A 17,231-nucleotide genomic window follows, 5' to 3' on the forward strand; every position below is an offset into this window, starting at 1 on the left:
TGATTTTCTGGATGGTAACTAAGATAAAATGACTGATTTTATTTTACTAAATAATTACCTACCCCTCCTCCTAAACCAAGAGGGGGCTCTTCCTCAAGCAAGAATACTAAGTTCAAAGTATTTTAAGTTATGAATTTATGGTCACAACAGAGGACATCACACAAAGGAAAAAACCACCAGGTCAAATGCAAATAAACCGGCAAATAAAATTTTCATTATACAATTATCGCTTGCTCTGTGGGAAAATGCTCAAGAGTATAGGCTTTTTTTTTTTTTTTTTTTTCATTCAAAGATATCAACATCAAAGTAAATTGGCAGGGGTATATAGCTCAGTGGTAGAGCATCTGACTGCAAAGTAAATTTGAACTTGAATTACCATAAGTCTTGCCACCATTCTTCTCAGCTGTCAAATACATTGCTAACACTAGAAAATCCATAATCTTATTTTTCTACCCTGCCAATACCCACTACCAAAGAGACAGTAAGCTAAGATTCTCATATAAATTCCTCCACAAAAAGACTACTCCATCCAACCATATGAAACTGCAGTTGTGATCCCTAGTCCTGAAAATCATCAATACTTGTGATGTTTTCATAGGTTACCAGTCTGCTTTCAAGCAAAGCCCATCATGTTAAGCAATTCTAGAAGAGTGGCTGATAGCTAATGTGCTAGAAAGCAACCACCAAAAATATCAAAGGCCTCTAACTAGGGTAAACGGGTGATTCCAGTATTCAAGGAAAAAGCTAATTATACTTGGCATGGGTTGCATTTCTTTTCAGCTGCTCTTAGTCACCCTATATACAACTTCGTAAACAAAGATAGTCATTAACTTCTGGATAACAACGTGCTTAAGAATGTACCGCTGTGTGTGGTATAAGCTAGTGTACCTTTCAGCAGACTGCCAATGAATTCTTCATAATGGGATTTAGCAGTACACTAAGATGATATTCAAGAACTGTACGCAACTGTAATGCCTCTTTTCTTAATAATGGCCCTCAATCAGCCCTTGAAAATCAGTGCAACAAAACTTGGCCATCTGTTCACAAAACTTTCAAAACTGAAAAATAATAATCTACCATATAATAAGATATTTTAATATAAAAAAAGATTATTTGAACAGTCTAATTCAAGTTTCAACTGTTTTCAAGTCTTTAAGTCACATAACTGAAAATTCCCATTTCTATCTTGAGAAAAAATATTTCCCAGCAGAGGAATCTACGAGCGTCTATGATGGATGGTTTTAATTTTATATCCTAGGAGTTTTAATGCTGATGAGATTAATGAGCAGTACCATGCTGATCTGCAAGCTGAAAAGACAAATAAAAGATAGTGAAGGGGTAGGAACAGAATCTCCCCTTGTTCTCTGGAAGCAGCCTTTTGTATCAGAGTAGGAATTCCCAGGTTACAAGAATAGATTCTAAACAAAGCAACTAAGAATCATATAAAACAAGTCAATGGATTGACTGTAATCTGGCAGGGTCTCTGCCTAATCACATTGTTATTACTAGGTTAAAAAGCAAAGGGCTTGCACCTGACAAAAAGGGCTAACGAAAAGCCAACTGGATCCAACACAAAACAAACTTGTCAAAACCTTCTCTTCACCACCAGTAACGTGTCATTACCAAAATAATCACATTGATGGTAAATAATTTGTTGTATCTGCAACTGGAACTCAGCAAATTCTAACCTGGGCCCAAGTATTATATTACCCATCTCCGAATGTGACATTCTATCTAGCACCATCCAGACGAGAAAGCAGAGCAAAAGACTCTAGCAATGGAAGTGTTTTTTTTTTTTTTTTTTTTTTGAGACAAGGTCTTGTGCTGCCCAGGCTGGAGGGCAGTGGTGCAATCATGGCTCACTGCAGCCTCGACCTCCTAGGCTCAAAGCAATCCTCCCACTTCAGCCTCCCAAGTAGCTGGGACTACAGGTGTGTGCTACCACACCCAACTAATTTTTGTATTTTTTGTAGAGATGGGGGTCTCAATATGTTGCACAGGCTGGTCTCAAACTCCTGGGCTCAAGTGATCCTTCCACCTCAGTCTCCCCTAAATTGTTAGGTTTACAGGCATGAGCCACCACACCAAGCCTAGAATGGAATTCTTAAAACTTAACTGTATACAGACTTTCACAACTCAAAGAAAAAAATCTGAAAAACTGAAATTGGCCAAGAAAGCTTTACATATTGTTTTTCTAGTTCCTCTAAGCCATAAGGGATTATAAGATGAGTAAAACAAATACAGATTTTTTAATTCTATTTTTTAAAAATTGTTTCAGGCCTGGCGTGGTGGCTCAGGCCTGTTATCCCAGCACTTTGGGAGGCCGAGGCAGGCAGGTCACTTCAGGTCAGGAGTTCAAGACCAGCCTGGCCAACATGACGAAACCCCATCTCTACTAAAAACACAAAAATTAGCCAGGCAGAGTGGCATGCACCTGTAATTCCAGCAACTTGGGAGGCTGAGGCACAAGAATTGCTTGAACCCAGAAGGCAGAGGTTGCACTGAACAGAGATCGCGCCATTGCATTCCAGCCTGGGTGACAGAGCGAGACTCCATCTCCAAAAAAAAAAAAAAAAATTGTTTCAGCAACCTGTAATGTTTTGAGTTTTGAAAAAATGCTACGACTAAAAACTCAGAACAGATAAATGATTAGTTTTCTCTTTCACTTTCAGGCCTCAAACATCACTGTTCAATAGCTTTTTTTTTTTTTAAACAAACCCAATGATCAGGTATGTACCCACACAGCTTGTCCATGTAACTACCTTCATGTCGTAGCCATATGTCTCTCGAATGTCTTCATCAGAGTCTGTTTCTTCATCATCATAGTCCATTGTTTGTCGAGGAGAAGATGACACACTGCTCACCACCCGGTTAAAAGCAGACTGCTGGAAACTAGGTAAGTGTCCCTAAACAACAAATAATTCCAAGATGAACAGCAAGACATGCTAAACAGACAGGGTAATTAATGTGTGCTTAAGATCACCAAAATGTAATGAATAAGCAAAGTGGCTAACAGAGTTCTTCAACAGTTAGTAGAAATCAAATTATTTGATTATGATGCCAAAGTCCACCTGAATGATATTACCAAGAATATTTCACTAAGTACGTATCCAAAAAAAGTGCTATAGTGTATGTTGAAGGAGAATGCAATGGATAATTGCTGACAAGTTACTGTTATTTTCCTAATCAATTGGTAAGACAGACTCAATTTACTATTTATACACTGACATATCCCATGAAATAGAAAAAGAATGTAAATCCTAAACTTGCCTGTAAGTCTGGATTGGCAGCTGCTTTTTGGAGTTCTGCACTGATGATCTTTTCAGTTTTTTCTCGAGCCGCCTGTTCCACCATACGCTGGCTCAACACAGATAGTTTGGCCAGGGCAGAGGATAGTTCATCTGTGGCTAGAGCCTGCCGCGCTCTATCTTGCCAACTCATAGCACGTTCTGTCAAACACTGCAGGGCCTCTCCTTCAGGCAACCGTACGGGCAACTTCTGAAGGGATACCAGGAGTGACAGAATAGTCTCTAGCCTGGGCCTTCGAGACCGCATACAAAGAGGGCAAAGGAATTTTACTTCTTTAGCTTGCCAGCTGGATCCTTTTTTTTGGGAACTTGATTTAGGAAGAGGAACACAGCTGTTATGGAACCAGTCTTTGCAGAGCTCACACTGTAGCATAAACCCACTGGCTGTCTTGCGGCAAATGCAAAATTTTACTTCTTCTATGCGGTCCACCATTGTCATCTTGGCTAGGTTGGCTGCTCTGAGAGAATGCATGGCTTCAATCTCTTTTTGCTCCCGTTCTTTGAAAACTGCCACCTGTACAAGACAAACATTTAATTGAAAAGAGTCACTGCAATATACCCCCCAAAATACCAAATCCTCAAGGCTGTGGGATCTTTCTCCCAAGTTATCAGTTATAAACAGTTTCCTAAAATGTGGGGCCCCTGGCGGTTTCCATGCAAACATTCCTCAAGTGTGAAATGGGCAAAGTGCTATCATATTTGATCATGTACATCAGTACAGTACTTTGGCCTCTTCTGTAGGGTGCGGTACAAAGATGGCATGCCTTGAAATCAAGCAACCTGGGTACAAAGCCTGGCTCTTGTACTTTTAGACTGTTAATATGGGGTACAAGTTTCAGAACGTCCGTTTTCTGAAAAATGAGAATACTACCAACCGTATTTTGCTGTTTTACGGATTAAATAAGATAACATATGAAAGTGCCTAACCTGGTACCTTGCACAAGGTAAACACTCTTAAAGTATTAGTTTCCTATCACCTCGTAATTCATTCCCTGGGGCAAGTCCTACACAAATTAATTTACTTCTCTCTGGAAAGCCTCTTCATGTATAAGTAGAATAACAAAACTTGACGATCAGTTGTAACAACAGAGTTTTATGAAACTCATTTTAACAAAGTAAATAAAGGCAAACAAATTTAATTATCAATACTGTCAGTGCATTTTCTTGTTAAACTACTGGCAGCTTTGAAACAATTTTGAAATAATTTCCAGTCCTACTTGTCTAGCAAGATTGACTTGTTAGGCAGGCTCTCTAATCAGAGAATATTTTCACTGGCTTCAAAACAGAATCATTTGTAGGCAGAAAGAGCTATATCACATGCAATTCCCTACTTTTATTGTCCAGATTCGTATTTATTTTCCATTTCCTCAGGCTCCTAGTAATCTTAACACATTCCTCCTATCCTCCAAAAAAGCATAATTCTCATCAACTACAAATATTTTAACACTCATTAAGAGATGGAAATCTGTAGCCTGGTATAATTCCTTTGAAAAACACAATAGTAATAAGAGTCATAAAATGCTTATATTAAATTCTAACCCAGTAATTACATTCCTAAGAGTCAAGTCTAGGAAATTTAAAAGAAGGAAAAGGTTATAAAAGAAGTTCATTTTATTACTTACAATAAGAAACTTAGTAACAGGCAAAATGCTCAAAATTAGAAAACTACAGCAGGTCCTCAAATAACATCTTTACGTTCAGTGTAGTTTCATTATAACACTGATGAGAAAAAAATCAATTCCTGGCCAATGCCACTGTCACTCACTAATTTACCAAAAACTGGATAATTATTTCGTTTTTATTACTCTTTCTTAAATGTAGGTTTAGCTCGAATTTTCTCAGTGTTTAATATCAGAAGTGTTTGGGGTCTTTATTTTAAAAGTCTGATGATGTTTTTGTGACCAGAAATATGCTGCAGGAACTTAACTCTTGTTTATATCAGTCTGTAGTAAAAGTGGGTTCATTATACATTGCTTCGCTTAAAGTTGCAGTGCAAGAAGCTATTGATAAAATTAAGTGAGGACTTACTGTACTCAGCAAACTATGGACAACTTGATGGAACAGCAGACAACTATTAAAACAACAATAAAGAACAGAGGTATGGAAAAGACAATTTTGGGAAAAGAGCAGAATACTAAACTTTTTGTATATCTTGATTATAAATATTTACTTTTAATGTGAAATATGTATAATCATAAAGCCAAAGTATATGAAAATAAAAAGTTAAAAACATAAAAACTGTGAGTCTGCTAATATCTCTACAGAGTTTTGTATTCACCAAGCAAACTCAAGATGCTAGGTAATTTCTTACCACCATGGCTGTATCTCTGGTTTCCTCCAATCCTTCCTCCAGATCACTCAGAGGCTCCAGGTCCAGATCCTTTTCTTTTTCTTTTTCTATTAGTTCTTTTACTTTTTTCCTCCTATTTTTGCCACTCCCATATACACCAATGTCGGTCCGGGGGCTCAGCACCTACAAAAATAAAACCACCATTATAAACTCTGGTTTTGAAAATAATCTTAAAAGTAAAAATAATAAAGGAACCATTTGTTGACTGTTCAACCATGTCCCACGCACTTTCTTAAGGACTTTATACACATGATCTAATTCATTCCTCACAACAACCCTATGTAGTAGGTATTAATATCTACATTTTATAAACAAGAGAAACTGAGGCTCAGGAAGGAAATAACTTGCCCAAGGACACAGGGTTAGCAATTAAGGAGTCCACTCTCAAACCTGAAAGGATCTCATTCCAAAGCCTTTGCTCTTAACTACTATGTTCAACTGCTCAAGATGAAAGGGATGATGAATATACAAATTTGTGCTTCGGAGAAATACGATCTTTCAATGATAGGCTGGACGTGGTGGCTCACACCTGTAATCCCAGCACTTTGGAAGACTGAGGCGGGCGCATCACTTGAGCTCAAAGGAGTTCAAGACCAGCCCAGGCAACATGATGAAATCCCATCTCCACCAAAAATACAAAAAATTAGCCAGGCATGGTGTAGCATGCCTGTAGTCCCAGACACTTGGGAGGATGAGGTGAAAGGATCACTTGAGCCCAGGAGGCGACAGCTGCAGTGGGCCGAGACTGCACCACTGCACTCCAGTCTGGGCGACAGGGCAAGACCCTGTCTCAAAAAAACAGAACAAAACGATTTCAATGACTAGAGTCCAATAACAAGCCAAGGCCGACTGCTTTTTCTAGGGACAGCACAAGATTAACTGGAAATGAATCTGCCCAAGGTTCCAGATTTCAAGTCAACATCTGATATTACCTAGTAAGAATCACTTGTATAATGGTAATCAGATAAACTGAAAATAACCCTCACCAATACTATTACTACTTAAATTATCAGCTGCTTATGAGAGTGTTGAAGTTCAAGTACCTGTAACAATGTATGGCTAGAATTCTTCTTAAGAAACGTCCGCCCAGTCCGTTCTCTCCATGCCCGTGCTGCTGCTACCTGTGATTCCACTTGCGGCAGTGCTTCAAGACGCACAGGAATAGGGCGTCCTTTCGCAGACAAGCTCTCAAGCTGCTCCAAATAAGCGTAATTGCTGCCACTCTGAAAAACCAAAGTAGATTCTCACAATTTGAGTTCTCTTATGGGGTTTGGCAATATACTGTTGAAAGACCTTACAAAGTTTAGTGTTAGTTCTTTTATTAAATATTATTCTTTGAATGTAATTCCATCTCTTGAATTAATATAACTTCCAATGTCCTATTTTTTAAAGTTTGTGTAAATTATTTTTTTAATGAACATGTCATCAATGATTTTATTTATTAATTGAGAGTACCAGTAGATATAACAACCAGTTCAAAGGACAATCTAAAGCACAGACATATATAAACACAGTTAGCAGGCCAGGCGTGGTGGCTCACACCTGTAATCTCAGCACTTTGGGAGGCTGAGGCAGGCAGATCACCTGAGGTCAGGAGCTCGAGACCAGCCTGGCCAACATGGTGAAACCCCACCTGGTAGAGAGACAGCCCTTTGAAATTACAGAGGAAACACATGATAGTTACCTATACTTATTGACTTAGTCCTTCAATTCTAAATAAAACAGCCAATTAAAGATTCTCAGACATTCGAAGACAACAACTACTGCCTGAGCCAGGTCAAAAACGCATCAAACATAGAAGCTGTCCAGATAAAAACAGAAATAATTCAAAAAAACAGAAAAGAAACAGGGGCAGCTAAGCAGGTCCCAGAAAAACTCAACAGAAAAGAAAGTAAAAGAGAAGACACCCAGGCCAGGCGCGGTGGCTCACGCCTGTAATCCCAGCACTTTGGAAGGCCAAGACAGGCGGATCACCTGAGGTGAGGACTTCAAGACCAGCCTGGCCAACATGGTGAAACTCCGGCTCTACCAAAAATACAAAAATTAGCTAGGCGTGCTGGCATGCGCCTGTAGTCCCAGCTACTTGGGAAGCTGAGGCAGGAGAATTGCTTGAACCCAGGAGGCAGAGGTTGCAGTGAGCCAAGATCACACCACTGCACTCCAGCCAGGGCGACAGAGCAAGACTCTGTCTCAAAAAAAAAGAACTTGACACCCAGAATACGTTCCGTTTGGGGGCAGCAGTGTAGTGGAAGTTGGTTTTCTTTTTGAGTACAGTTCTATAATTAAGAGTATTTATATACTTAACACTGTAAGTGCTGCTTAACGGTTTTTATGATTCGAGTACACTTTTATCTCTATCTAGCACTTATTTCATTCTGTTTTAAATTACAGATGTGTAAAATACGTCTCTCCAACTAGAAAATATGTATTTGGAAGACTCTACTTTTATACCCTATTTTGTACCATAAGTCCTATTTTTATACCCTTCCCTTACATGCCTGCTCCCAAACATCTAGAATAGTAGCAAGAGTACTGTGGTGCTCAGTAAATGTTAATTTCATTTTATTTTTCTGCCTCTAATTTTAAAAGTAATTTATGCACATGGAAAAAAATTTGAAGAATACAGTAGGTAACAAATTCCCTACTGCTTAAGAGTTAAATAACTAATTCCATCATCTTTCATAGCAAGGAGTCAATAAAAACAAGTAATATTTAAGTAGGTAATAATTATTCTAAATTATAAAATCAGACGAAAGAGTAAGTGAACTTTACTAGAATTATTTTATAGATGCTCCTCAACTTACGACAGGGTTATGTCCCGTCGTAAGGTGAAAATATTGTAATTTGAAAATGCATTTAATAAAATTAACATACGAAACACAGCTTAGCCTAGCCTACCTTAAAGGTGCTCAGAACACTTACATCGGCATGACTGACTGGGAGCTGTGGCTCAGTGCTGCTGCCCGGCATTGTGAGAGAATGTCATACCACATATTGCTAGCCTGGCACAAGTTCAAAATTCAAATTTCGAAACACAGTTTCTACTCAATGCATATCACTTTCGCACCATCATAAAGTCTAAAAATCACAAATCGATCTAAGTTAGGGATCGTTTGTATTATGATTATTCTATTCTAAAGAATTAATAGTTTAAAAGATTAATCCATGAAACAGGCATTACCTGATAGGTGGGATAATCCAAAAGTCTTCTTACCTGAATAGCTTCCACTTTAGCGGTCCATTCTCGAGCCTTTTGTAAGGCTTCTTTCAAGGACAACACATTGGGTAGAAAGGCTGGAATGTTCTTGGCTTCATTCACAATGCTTTCTAAACTTGCCACACTGTGCCTCGGTCTAAAAGAACAATAAAAACAGAGTAGGATGCATGAGAAATCAACATTTAAGTAACATTTCAGAATGTTTAGAGAACTTTCATTTACATGATTTCACTGAATTCTTACCACAATCCTATAAGGGAGGCAAAGCAGCTAGTATCTTTCTTTTCCATCTTACAGATAAGAAAACTTCACAGATAAGAAAAGGTATAAACATAAGTTTATAATAAAATAAAATATAAATTTTTATGGATAAGAAAACTTTAACTCAAAGAAAAGTTATTTTCCCCGGTCATTTAGTGTAATAAAGGACACATCTGAAATACTGATTCAGAATGAGGGTCAGATCCATGATCCTTTCACTATACTAGACTGCCTCTACTCTACTTGTCTACAGTACCTGAAATTGTCAGAGATGCACATTGGATAGCAATATAGAAAACAATAGACTAGAAATCCATTAATGTTGACAATGTACATTTAAACTACATTCATTAACATTAGTTACACAAAGATGAATAAAGCATAGACCTTATCCTCAATGAATCACAATAGAAGATAAGAATTATGCTTCTACTGGGAACTAAAACCAAATTACTATAAACTCACTGTTATGGGAGGCAGTGATTAATTCTGCCCAGGAGAGTTGAGAAAGGCTTTGAAGTAGGCCTTATATTAGTATGATTCTGTCCAAACGAAAAGTTAAAGAAGTTAAAGAAACCAGGAATATAATGAACAAAGGCATGGAGAAACACTTGAAAAGCATTCATGGTTCAGTTTGCGATTAGGGGGTGATGTGGAGGGTTGGAGGCAGGGGCTGGGTGGAAAAAGAGTGGGGCAGGAAAAAGGAATCTGGCAGGAAGAAAGATGCAGAGTCTGAGAGCCATGGACTTCATCATGTAAAGCAATGGGAAGGTACTGAGGCTGAAATCGTTCATCATCCATGAATCCTACTACGTGTTAGGCACTGTTCTAGGTCCTGGAAATTGCTCATGAGCAAAAATGACAGTCCTTGCCTCATGAAACCTTTCATTTATTTCTTTTTTGAGTCTCGGGGTCACCCAGGCTGAAGTGCAGTGGCGCAATCTCAGCTCACTGCAACCGCTGCCTCCTAGGTTCAAACGATTCTCATGCCTCAGTCTCCCGAGTAGCTGGGAGTACAGGCATGCGCCACCACGCCCGGCTAATTTTTTGTATTTTTAGTAGAGACGGGGTTTCACTGTGTTAGCCAGGATGGTCTCCATCTCCTGACCTCGTGATTCTCCTGCCTCAGCCTCCCAAAGTGCTGGGATTACAGGCGTGAGCCACTGTGCCCAGCCTCACGAAACTTTTTAATCTTATGAAGATTATTCATAAGGAGTTTATGATGCTCTGTGGTAAGTGTAATGATAAATGAAAGTAAAAGTGCTATTGGAATACATACTAGGAGAACCTAATTGACTTGGCAGGGAAAGAAGACTTCCCAAAAGTGATGTCTAAGCTTTCCCATCCTTTCTGAACAAGACTTAATCTGGAAAGCTGGGGCCAGGGGCAGGGTAGGGTTGGTAGAGGTACACCACAGGAGATGGGCTGAAAATAAGAGTGCTCCACAGGAGAATAAAATAAACATGCACAAAGATGCAGAGAAAGAACACAGATGTTTGAGGAACTGAGAGGAAAAATCACAATGTTTGGAACATAGAATACAAGAGGAAGAATAGCAAGAGATAAGACTAGATATATAATTAAGCAAGAGGCTAGATGACAGATGGCCTTATAAATCAGGTTAGGGAATTTGGACTTCATCCTGAGGGCAACAGAAAACTAGAGAAGGATTTAAGTAAGGGAGTGAAAGTTACACCTGTATTTTAACAAAGTACTAGTGGCAGTATAGAGAATGAATTAGAGAGGGGTAAGACCAGACATTCTAGGCAAGCTTGTCTTGTCTAGGCAAGCTACGACAGCAGCCTGAGTGGAATGAGAGAAAAAGAAGGAATAATCCTACAAGCAGTCCAAGTGAAAAGATTCTTTTCAAAACAGCAGAGAGAATGATATATCCAAAGTACTAAGACAAAATAATTGTCAACCAGTAATTTTACACCTATCGCAAAAAAGTCCTTCAAGAATGAGGGTAAAAGGCTGGGCACAGTGGCTCATGCCTGTAATCCCAGCACTTTGGGAGGCGGAGGCAGGCAGATTGCTTGAGGTCAGGAGCTCAAGACAAGGCTGGCCAACATGGCGAAACCCCATCTCTGCAAAAAATAAAAAAATTAGCTGGGCATGGTGGCATGCACCTATAATCCCAGCTACTCGGAAGCCTGAGGCACGAGAATTGCTTGAGCCTTGGGCAGTGGACGTTGCCATGAGCCAAAATGGCACCATTGCACACCCCAGCCTGGGCAACAAAGCAAATCTCCATCTCAAAAAAAGGCAGGGTGGGGTGAAAAAGAATGAGTATAACATAAATCCACATGCAGACTTAAAAAAAAAAAATGAAAGAAAGTGAGAAGCACTGGGGAAATATAATCAGCATGACTGAGTTTGAGGATAAAGAAGAAGGGAAGAGTCAAAGCTAACTACCAAAGTACCTGCTTGTTCAAATGAGTGAAAGATGGTATAATTTAAAGAATAAAGAAACAAAGGAGGAGGCTATGAGAAGACATTAATGAGTCCAATTTTGGATACAGGGACTTTCAGGTATCTGTGGGACATCCGCCTGGAATCTAACAGGCGGATGATATTTATGAAAGAAATCTATATTATAAATGAAGATTTAGGAGTTACTCAGTATAAAGAAGGCAAACAGAGCCAAGAAATTAAATGAAATTTCCAGAGAGACTGTACAGAGTGAGAAAAGAAAGGCATCTATGCCAGAATCTCAAGGAAAACCATTATTTTAGAGGTAGAGAGAAGGCCAAAGGCAAAGGAAGAATCTCAAGAAAATAATGGTAAGTAGTTAATAACCAATACTAAGAGATCAAGAAGATTAAGGCTGTGTTTCAGAAAGATAATTCTGACAGAAGTTAGAAGAGTCTAACTCCCACTATTTCCACCAACCACATAATCCTCTATTTCTTTACCAGTTTTACTTTTTTCATGACACTAATTATTTGAAATTCATTCATTTATTTCTCTCTCTCTCTCTACTAGAACGGTAGCTCCATGAAAGCAGAGATCTTTGAGTGTCTTGTTCACTACTGTCTACATAGCATTTAGAAATAGCACCTGGCATGTAGCAGGTTCTCCATCAATACTTACCAAACTCAAATATCAAGGTAAAATATAAGAGGACTACAACTAGGTCAGTGACAATGAATTTGAAAGAGAGATATGAAAGACATGTTGGAGACAGAGTCATCAGAACCTGGTGACTGATTAAATATCAGAGACTGGGAAAACAAAGTTTTTAACTATTATTACCACGAAATTTCATTTGGTGGCCTACTACCAGGTGCGCCACGTTTATCAAAATCATAGTTTTACATTCCAAAGTTATTTAGCTTTGTCCACTTAATATGTTCCCACCTCCTGGAACTGTCATTCGTCTGAAGACACTGAGTAATATGAACAGTTCCAACAGGAAAAGCTATGAATAAATTTTAGTATGTATTCTGCATGGCATCTGGATAGCAAAATATCCAGTGTACACAGAGGCTTCTCAGAGCTGTGCTAATTAAATCACCTAAATATTTTCTTACCAAAATGCATCCAAAGTAAGTGGCTGGCAAAGTAGTTAAGTACACAGAGGTATTGAAATGAAGTGGAAGATACTTTAAATTTCAGTTGTGTCACTCAGTAACTATGTGATCTCTCCAGGCACCCCAGTTTCCTCATCCTCACAATAGAAATTATATAAATATTAATCTTAGCTGCTAGAGAAATGCTTTCACAAGGACCACCGTTAATTATCAGCCAAATTTGCTGACATACAGTCAGATATAAACACTTTATTTAAATCTCATTAAGTCCAATGGGGTGCTGATGCTAATACAGCCACTCAACATTCTCCTCCTGCCTGATTCTCATCTCCCAATACTTTTCGACATGAATCCTCCACTCCAGGGAAACCCACTTATTTTCTGTCACCTGAACACGCCCTAAATATTCCTTAAACTCAGTTTCTGAAATTTCTCTTACCTCCCTTCCACTTCAATCCTACTCATTCCTCAAGGCTCTACCTAAGTTCTTATTTTTCTCTGAAGCTTCTCTACTGACCACCCAAGCTCACCATGATCTTCCCCCTCTGAATCCCTGTAATATTTTTCCTTACCTTTCGGTTAACATTAATAAGGTACTACAATGAGCTTTATACTTCTTACTTCCTAACTATAGTATCACTAAGCATAGGCTCTAAACAAAATACTACTGTGTATAACATGAAGTACCTAACAAAGTACTCTGCACAATAGTTTGCACATATTTGAAACGGTCTACATGTAGCCCCATTTGATAACTTAGCGACTGGCCAGGGAAGGCACAAAACATTTAATTAAATATTTAATGTCATCACAGAAAACCAGTTGTCGGAGCCAGACCCAGGAGAACCCACTCTCCACTCTCTAGCAACGCTACCCCATGCGTGGGTCCAGACACAATGAGGTGCTCTGAGGGTTGAAGAAGGCATGGCCTGTGGGCATTCCTGCCCAGCAAGAAACTCTCCAGCTTGTCTGTACCCACTGCCACTGACCTGCACCTCTCCGGGAGCTGCACCTCTCCAGGAGCTGCCTGCCAAAGCAGGGAGAGAGGAGAATCTCCCGGTTTCCTTCAGGCCCTGGATCATCAGGAAATACCTTTCCCACCTACACAACTTAACTAATGCTACTTATACATTAAAATCCTAAACGCAAAAAAAAAAAAAGTCATTTAATGAAATAAGCTTTTAAGTTCCTTCTTCCCACTCTACCTTCTGACTTAGTTGTTAAAGAGGCAACTGTCACCAAAATGTGTTCACCTTGCCTGTAGGCAGACCTTAGCCTTTTCTTCCCATCGTTCAGAGACTGTAAGGAGCTCCTGTAGTTCAGCCATTGCTTTCTCCACAGCATGGTGGGGTGCCAACCCTACCCCAGAGTCTATCAGCTTCTTCATGACATCCAAAGTGACTTGTTGCGGATCTGATAAGGTCAGTCTTACTTCGTCCAACCACCGAGCCTGTTGTAGCTCTTGCTTCAGTCGTGGTAATTCAGGGAGTTCCACATAGAGACTAGAGCCCATATCTATCAACATCTGGAGTTTGGAAGAATCTGGGGTTTCATCCATCATGGCCTCCTGAGCACGTTCATGAAACTCTTCCACATCATCTAGCAGATTCTGAAAAGGTCAAAAGAAATAAAAATCAGAAAAACAAATTTAAAACATACAAAAGAGTATGAAATAGACATAGTCAAGGCAAACTATCAATTCTAGACTCTTATAATCTCACCATCATAACACCAAATATTCAGATATGACAGTTAAATTAATAAATATGCTTTTGTGTAATTACTTCTAGCTATTCTCCTACTTTTAAAATATAGTTGATTCATTCAATAAATATTTAATGACTGCTGACTTAGATGCAGGCACTTTTCTAGGCACACAGTATTAAAGAAGACATAAAATAGTCCTTGTCTTCAGAGAACATACATTCTAATGCAGATGACCAGACAGTGAACATAGGAATAAAATGTTTCAGTTAGTGTCAAGCGCTCTGAAAATAAAATAGGGCAGCACAACAGAGAATGACCAGAGTGGGGAAGGGCATATTACTTAGTAATGTCATTGGTAGTCACAGAAGACAAACTGAAACTAAATTGAGGGTTGGGGAGGAACTACAAGAGGATCTGAAGGAAGAACGGTTCGGGCAGGGCAAATAATAATTGCAAACGCTTTTAAAGAAGAATGAGCTTGGTGTGTTGCTACAAGTGGATGATGATGGAGAAATGTTGTTAAAAAATAAGCAGAGGTCAGACTACACAGTATCTTCTAGGTTACAATGAGTTTGAATTTCATTCAAATGGCTTTGGGGAACCACTGGAGAATTTTTACCATAGGGAAGTGATGTGATTTGATTTAAAATTTAGATTATCATTCTGGCTACCAAACAAAAAATAAAATGTCAGACGAGCAAAAGAAGGGAAAGCAGCTGAAAGGCTGTTGGGAGTAATCCAAGGGGCACATTCCAGTGGTGTAGAGCATAGTTTAGGCAACGGAGAGGACAATAAACGGTTTGCTTTGGGATATATTTTGGAGGTAATAGCAGCCAGCACTTGTTTAAATATTGAACACGGGGTATAAGGGAAATAAAGAAATCAAGGAGTTTGATTCACTTGGTTCATTAAAAGGCGTGGTGGCTCATGTCTGTAATTCCAGCACTTTGGGAGGCCAAAGCAAGTGGATCGCTTGAGCTCAGGAGTTTTGAGACCAGCCTGGGCAAAATGGCAAAAACTCGTCTCTACAAAACATACAAAAATTAGCCAGGCGTGGTGGTGTGCACCTATAGTGCACCAGCAACTTGGGAGGCTGAGGTGGGAGGATTGCTTGAGACTGGGAAGCAGAAGTTACAGTGAGCCGAGACCATACCACTGTACTGCAGCCTGGATGACAGAGCCAGACGCTGTCTCAAAAAGAAAAGAAAAGAAAAGAAAAAAAGCCTTTAAGATGCCTTTTAGTCCACCAAATGGAAATCCAGAGTATGCAGCTGGACATACAAGTCTGCAGGGAAAAAAGGCATCCAGGGCTGGAGATGTGGGATTGAATCAACAGGATATAGGTGATATTTAATGTCACTGGGCAAATAAGGTATCAGAAGTGGGGGCACCTGAAGAAAGGGCCGAGACTCCTAATATACTCCAACACTTAGAAGTCAAGTCGAAGAGAAAACAAGCAGCAAGGAAGACGTAAGAGAAGAAGAACTGCCAATGAGCTAAGAAAAAACCCAGAAAGTGTGGTGTCACAGGGGCTTAAAGAACAGCATTCAAGAAAGAGTAGTCAACTATCAAAATGCTCTTATGAAATGGAGTAAGACAAGAACACAACTGACCATAGATTCTACAAGTTGATAACCTTGATAAAAACTATTTTAGGCCGGGTGCGGTGGCTCATGCCTGTAATCCCAGCACTTTGGGAGGCCGAGGCGCGTGGACCACTTGAGGTCAGGAGTTTGAAACCAGCCTGCTAACATGGCGAAAACCCACCTCTACTAAAACTATAAAAATTAGCTGGGCATAGTGGCCCATTCCTCCAATCCCAGCTACTCGGGAGGCTGAGGCAGGAGAATCGCTTGAACCCAGGAGGCAGAGGTTGCAGTAAGCCGAGATCTCGCCACTGCACTCCAGCCTGGGCGACAGAGCGAGACTCCCATCTCAAAAACAAAAACAAAAATAAAAAACACTATTTTAGACACCCTACCCACCCCTCAAACACAAAAACACCCCAAACTATCAAAAGATCATTAACTATGGAGATTAATATATTTGATACATACTTTTAAGATTTTACATATTCATTAAGCGATCATTAAGCTTTTTAAAAGCTCACGTATTATTAACACTGATACATGCAGATTATTTTAACTAACTTCTTGCATTTCAATTACATCTATGTTAAATGGGGGTTCTGAACTAAAATTAATATAGAAAAAAATAATTTCATACCAGCCTTAGTTACAGAATTTTAAATGGGGAATAATGGCTAAGAACAAAACCAAAAAACTGCCTACTAAAGAACCTCAAATAGCAGCATATATGTGAGAGAAAAAAAAAATCAGAGCAAAAAACTAGTTTAGATATACCATTCTGTGAAACCCAGAACAGTGGACCATGTCACAAAGGACATTACCCAAAAAAAGGATGTAATACTCCACCTTTACTTGCCGAGCTTGGCTGATGACACACGGAAGACTAAAAAGTTGTTGGACAAAGGCCTTCAATTCTTCCACTGTCAGTTTGGTCCGAGTCCTCCCACTATCTGGGCTCTGTCTGATGTGAAATAATATTGAGATATAAGTAAGAAAAATTCAGTCATTCTGATATCAAAAGGGCTCCTAGTCTCTTCAGAATTCAAACCTAAGCAATCCTAGAATCCCAGTGTTTGAAGGATAACACCACAATGGTGACCACTTCAAAACAGTTGAGTTATTCAGTTAATGACTCAAAGATTCAACTCTCCAAGTTACAGTTCCTTCGATCTACAAGTATTAAACATTTCAAACATTACATAAATTCCTCATAGTTGGAATATTAAGTTCATTGATAAAACTTAATCCTGTATCTCAAGAAGGTTA

General features: G+C 39.2%; 1 protein-coding gene across 1 annotated transcript in view, besides 1 other annotated feature; it reads right to left on the reverse strand.

Annotated features, from left to right (window-relative positions):
- Window positions 1-17,231, reverse strand: part of KDM5A (lysine demethylase 5A) — a 109,264-nt gene that overhangs the window by 24,127 nt on the left and 67,906 nt on the right. Inside the window, exons 18-24 of the mRNA NM_001042603.3 lie at window positions 16,812-16,926; window positions 13,923-14,278; window positions 8,873-9,011; window positions 6,702-6,881; window positions 5,620-5,781; window positions 3,271-3,822; window positions 2,763-2,906 (exon numbers count right to left, since the gene is read on the reverse strand). Coding sequence (NP_001036068.1) covers window positions 2,763-2,906; window positions 3,271-3,822; window positions 5,620-5,781; window positions 6,702-6,881; window positions 8,873-9,011; window positions 13,923-14,278; window positions 16,812-16,926 — 1,648 coding nt within the window. The remainder of the gene's footprint in view (window positions 1-2,762; window positions 2,907-3,270; window positions 3,823-5,619; window positions 5,782-6,701; window positions 6,882-8,872; window positions 9,012-13,922; window positions 14,279-16,811; window positions 16,927-17,231) is intronic.
- Window positions 2,526-3,725: an enhancer, noted in NCBI's record as "BRD4-independent group 4 enhancer chr12:415875-417074 (GRCh37/hg19 assembly coordinates)". NCBI's record gives its function as "activates an origin of replication core promoter dependent on BRD2, P300/CBP, MED14 and CDK7 cofactors, and independent of BRD4, by STARR-seq in HCT116 cells {active_cell/tissue: HCT116}" and the evidence as "EXISTENCE:reporter gene assay evidence [ECO:0000049][PMID:35650434]".

This window comes from Homo sapiens, chromosome 12, assembly GCF_000001405.40.
Source record: "Homo sapiens chromosome 12, GRCh38.p14 Primary Assembly".
Taxonomy (NCBI): Eukaryota; Metazoa; Chordata; class Mammalia; order Primates; family Hominidae; genus Homo; species Homo sapiens.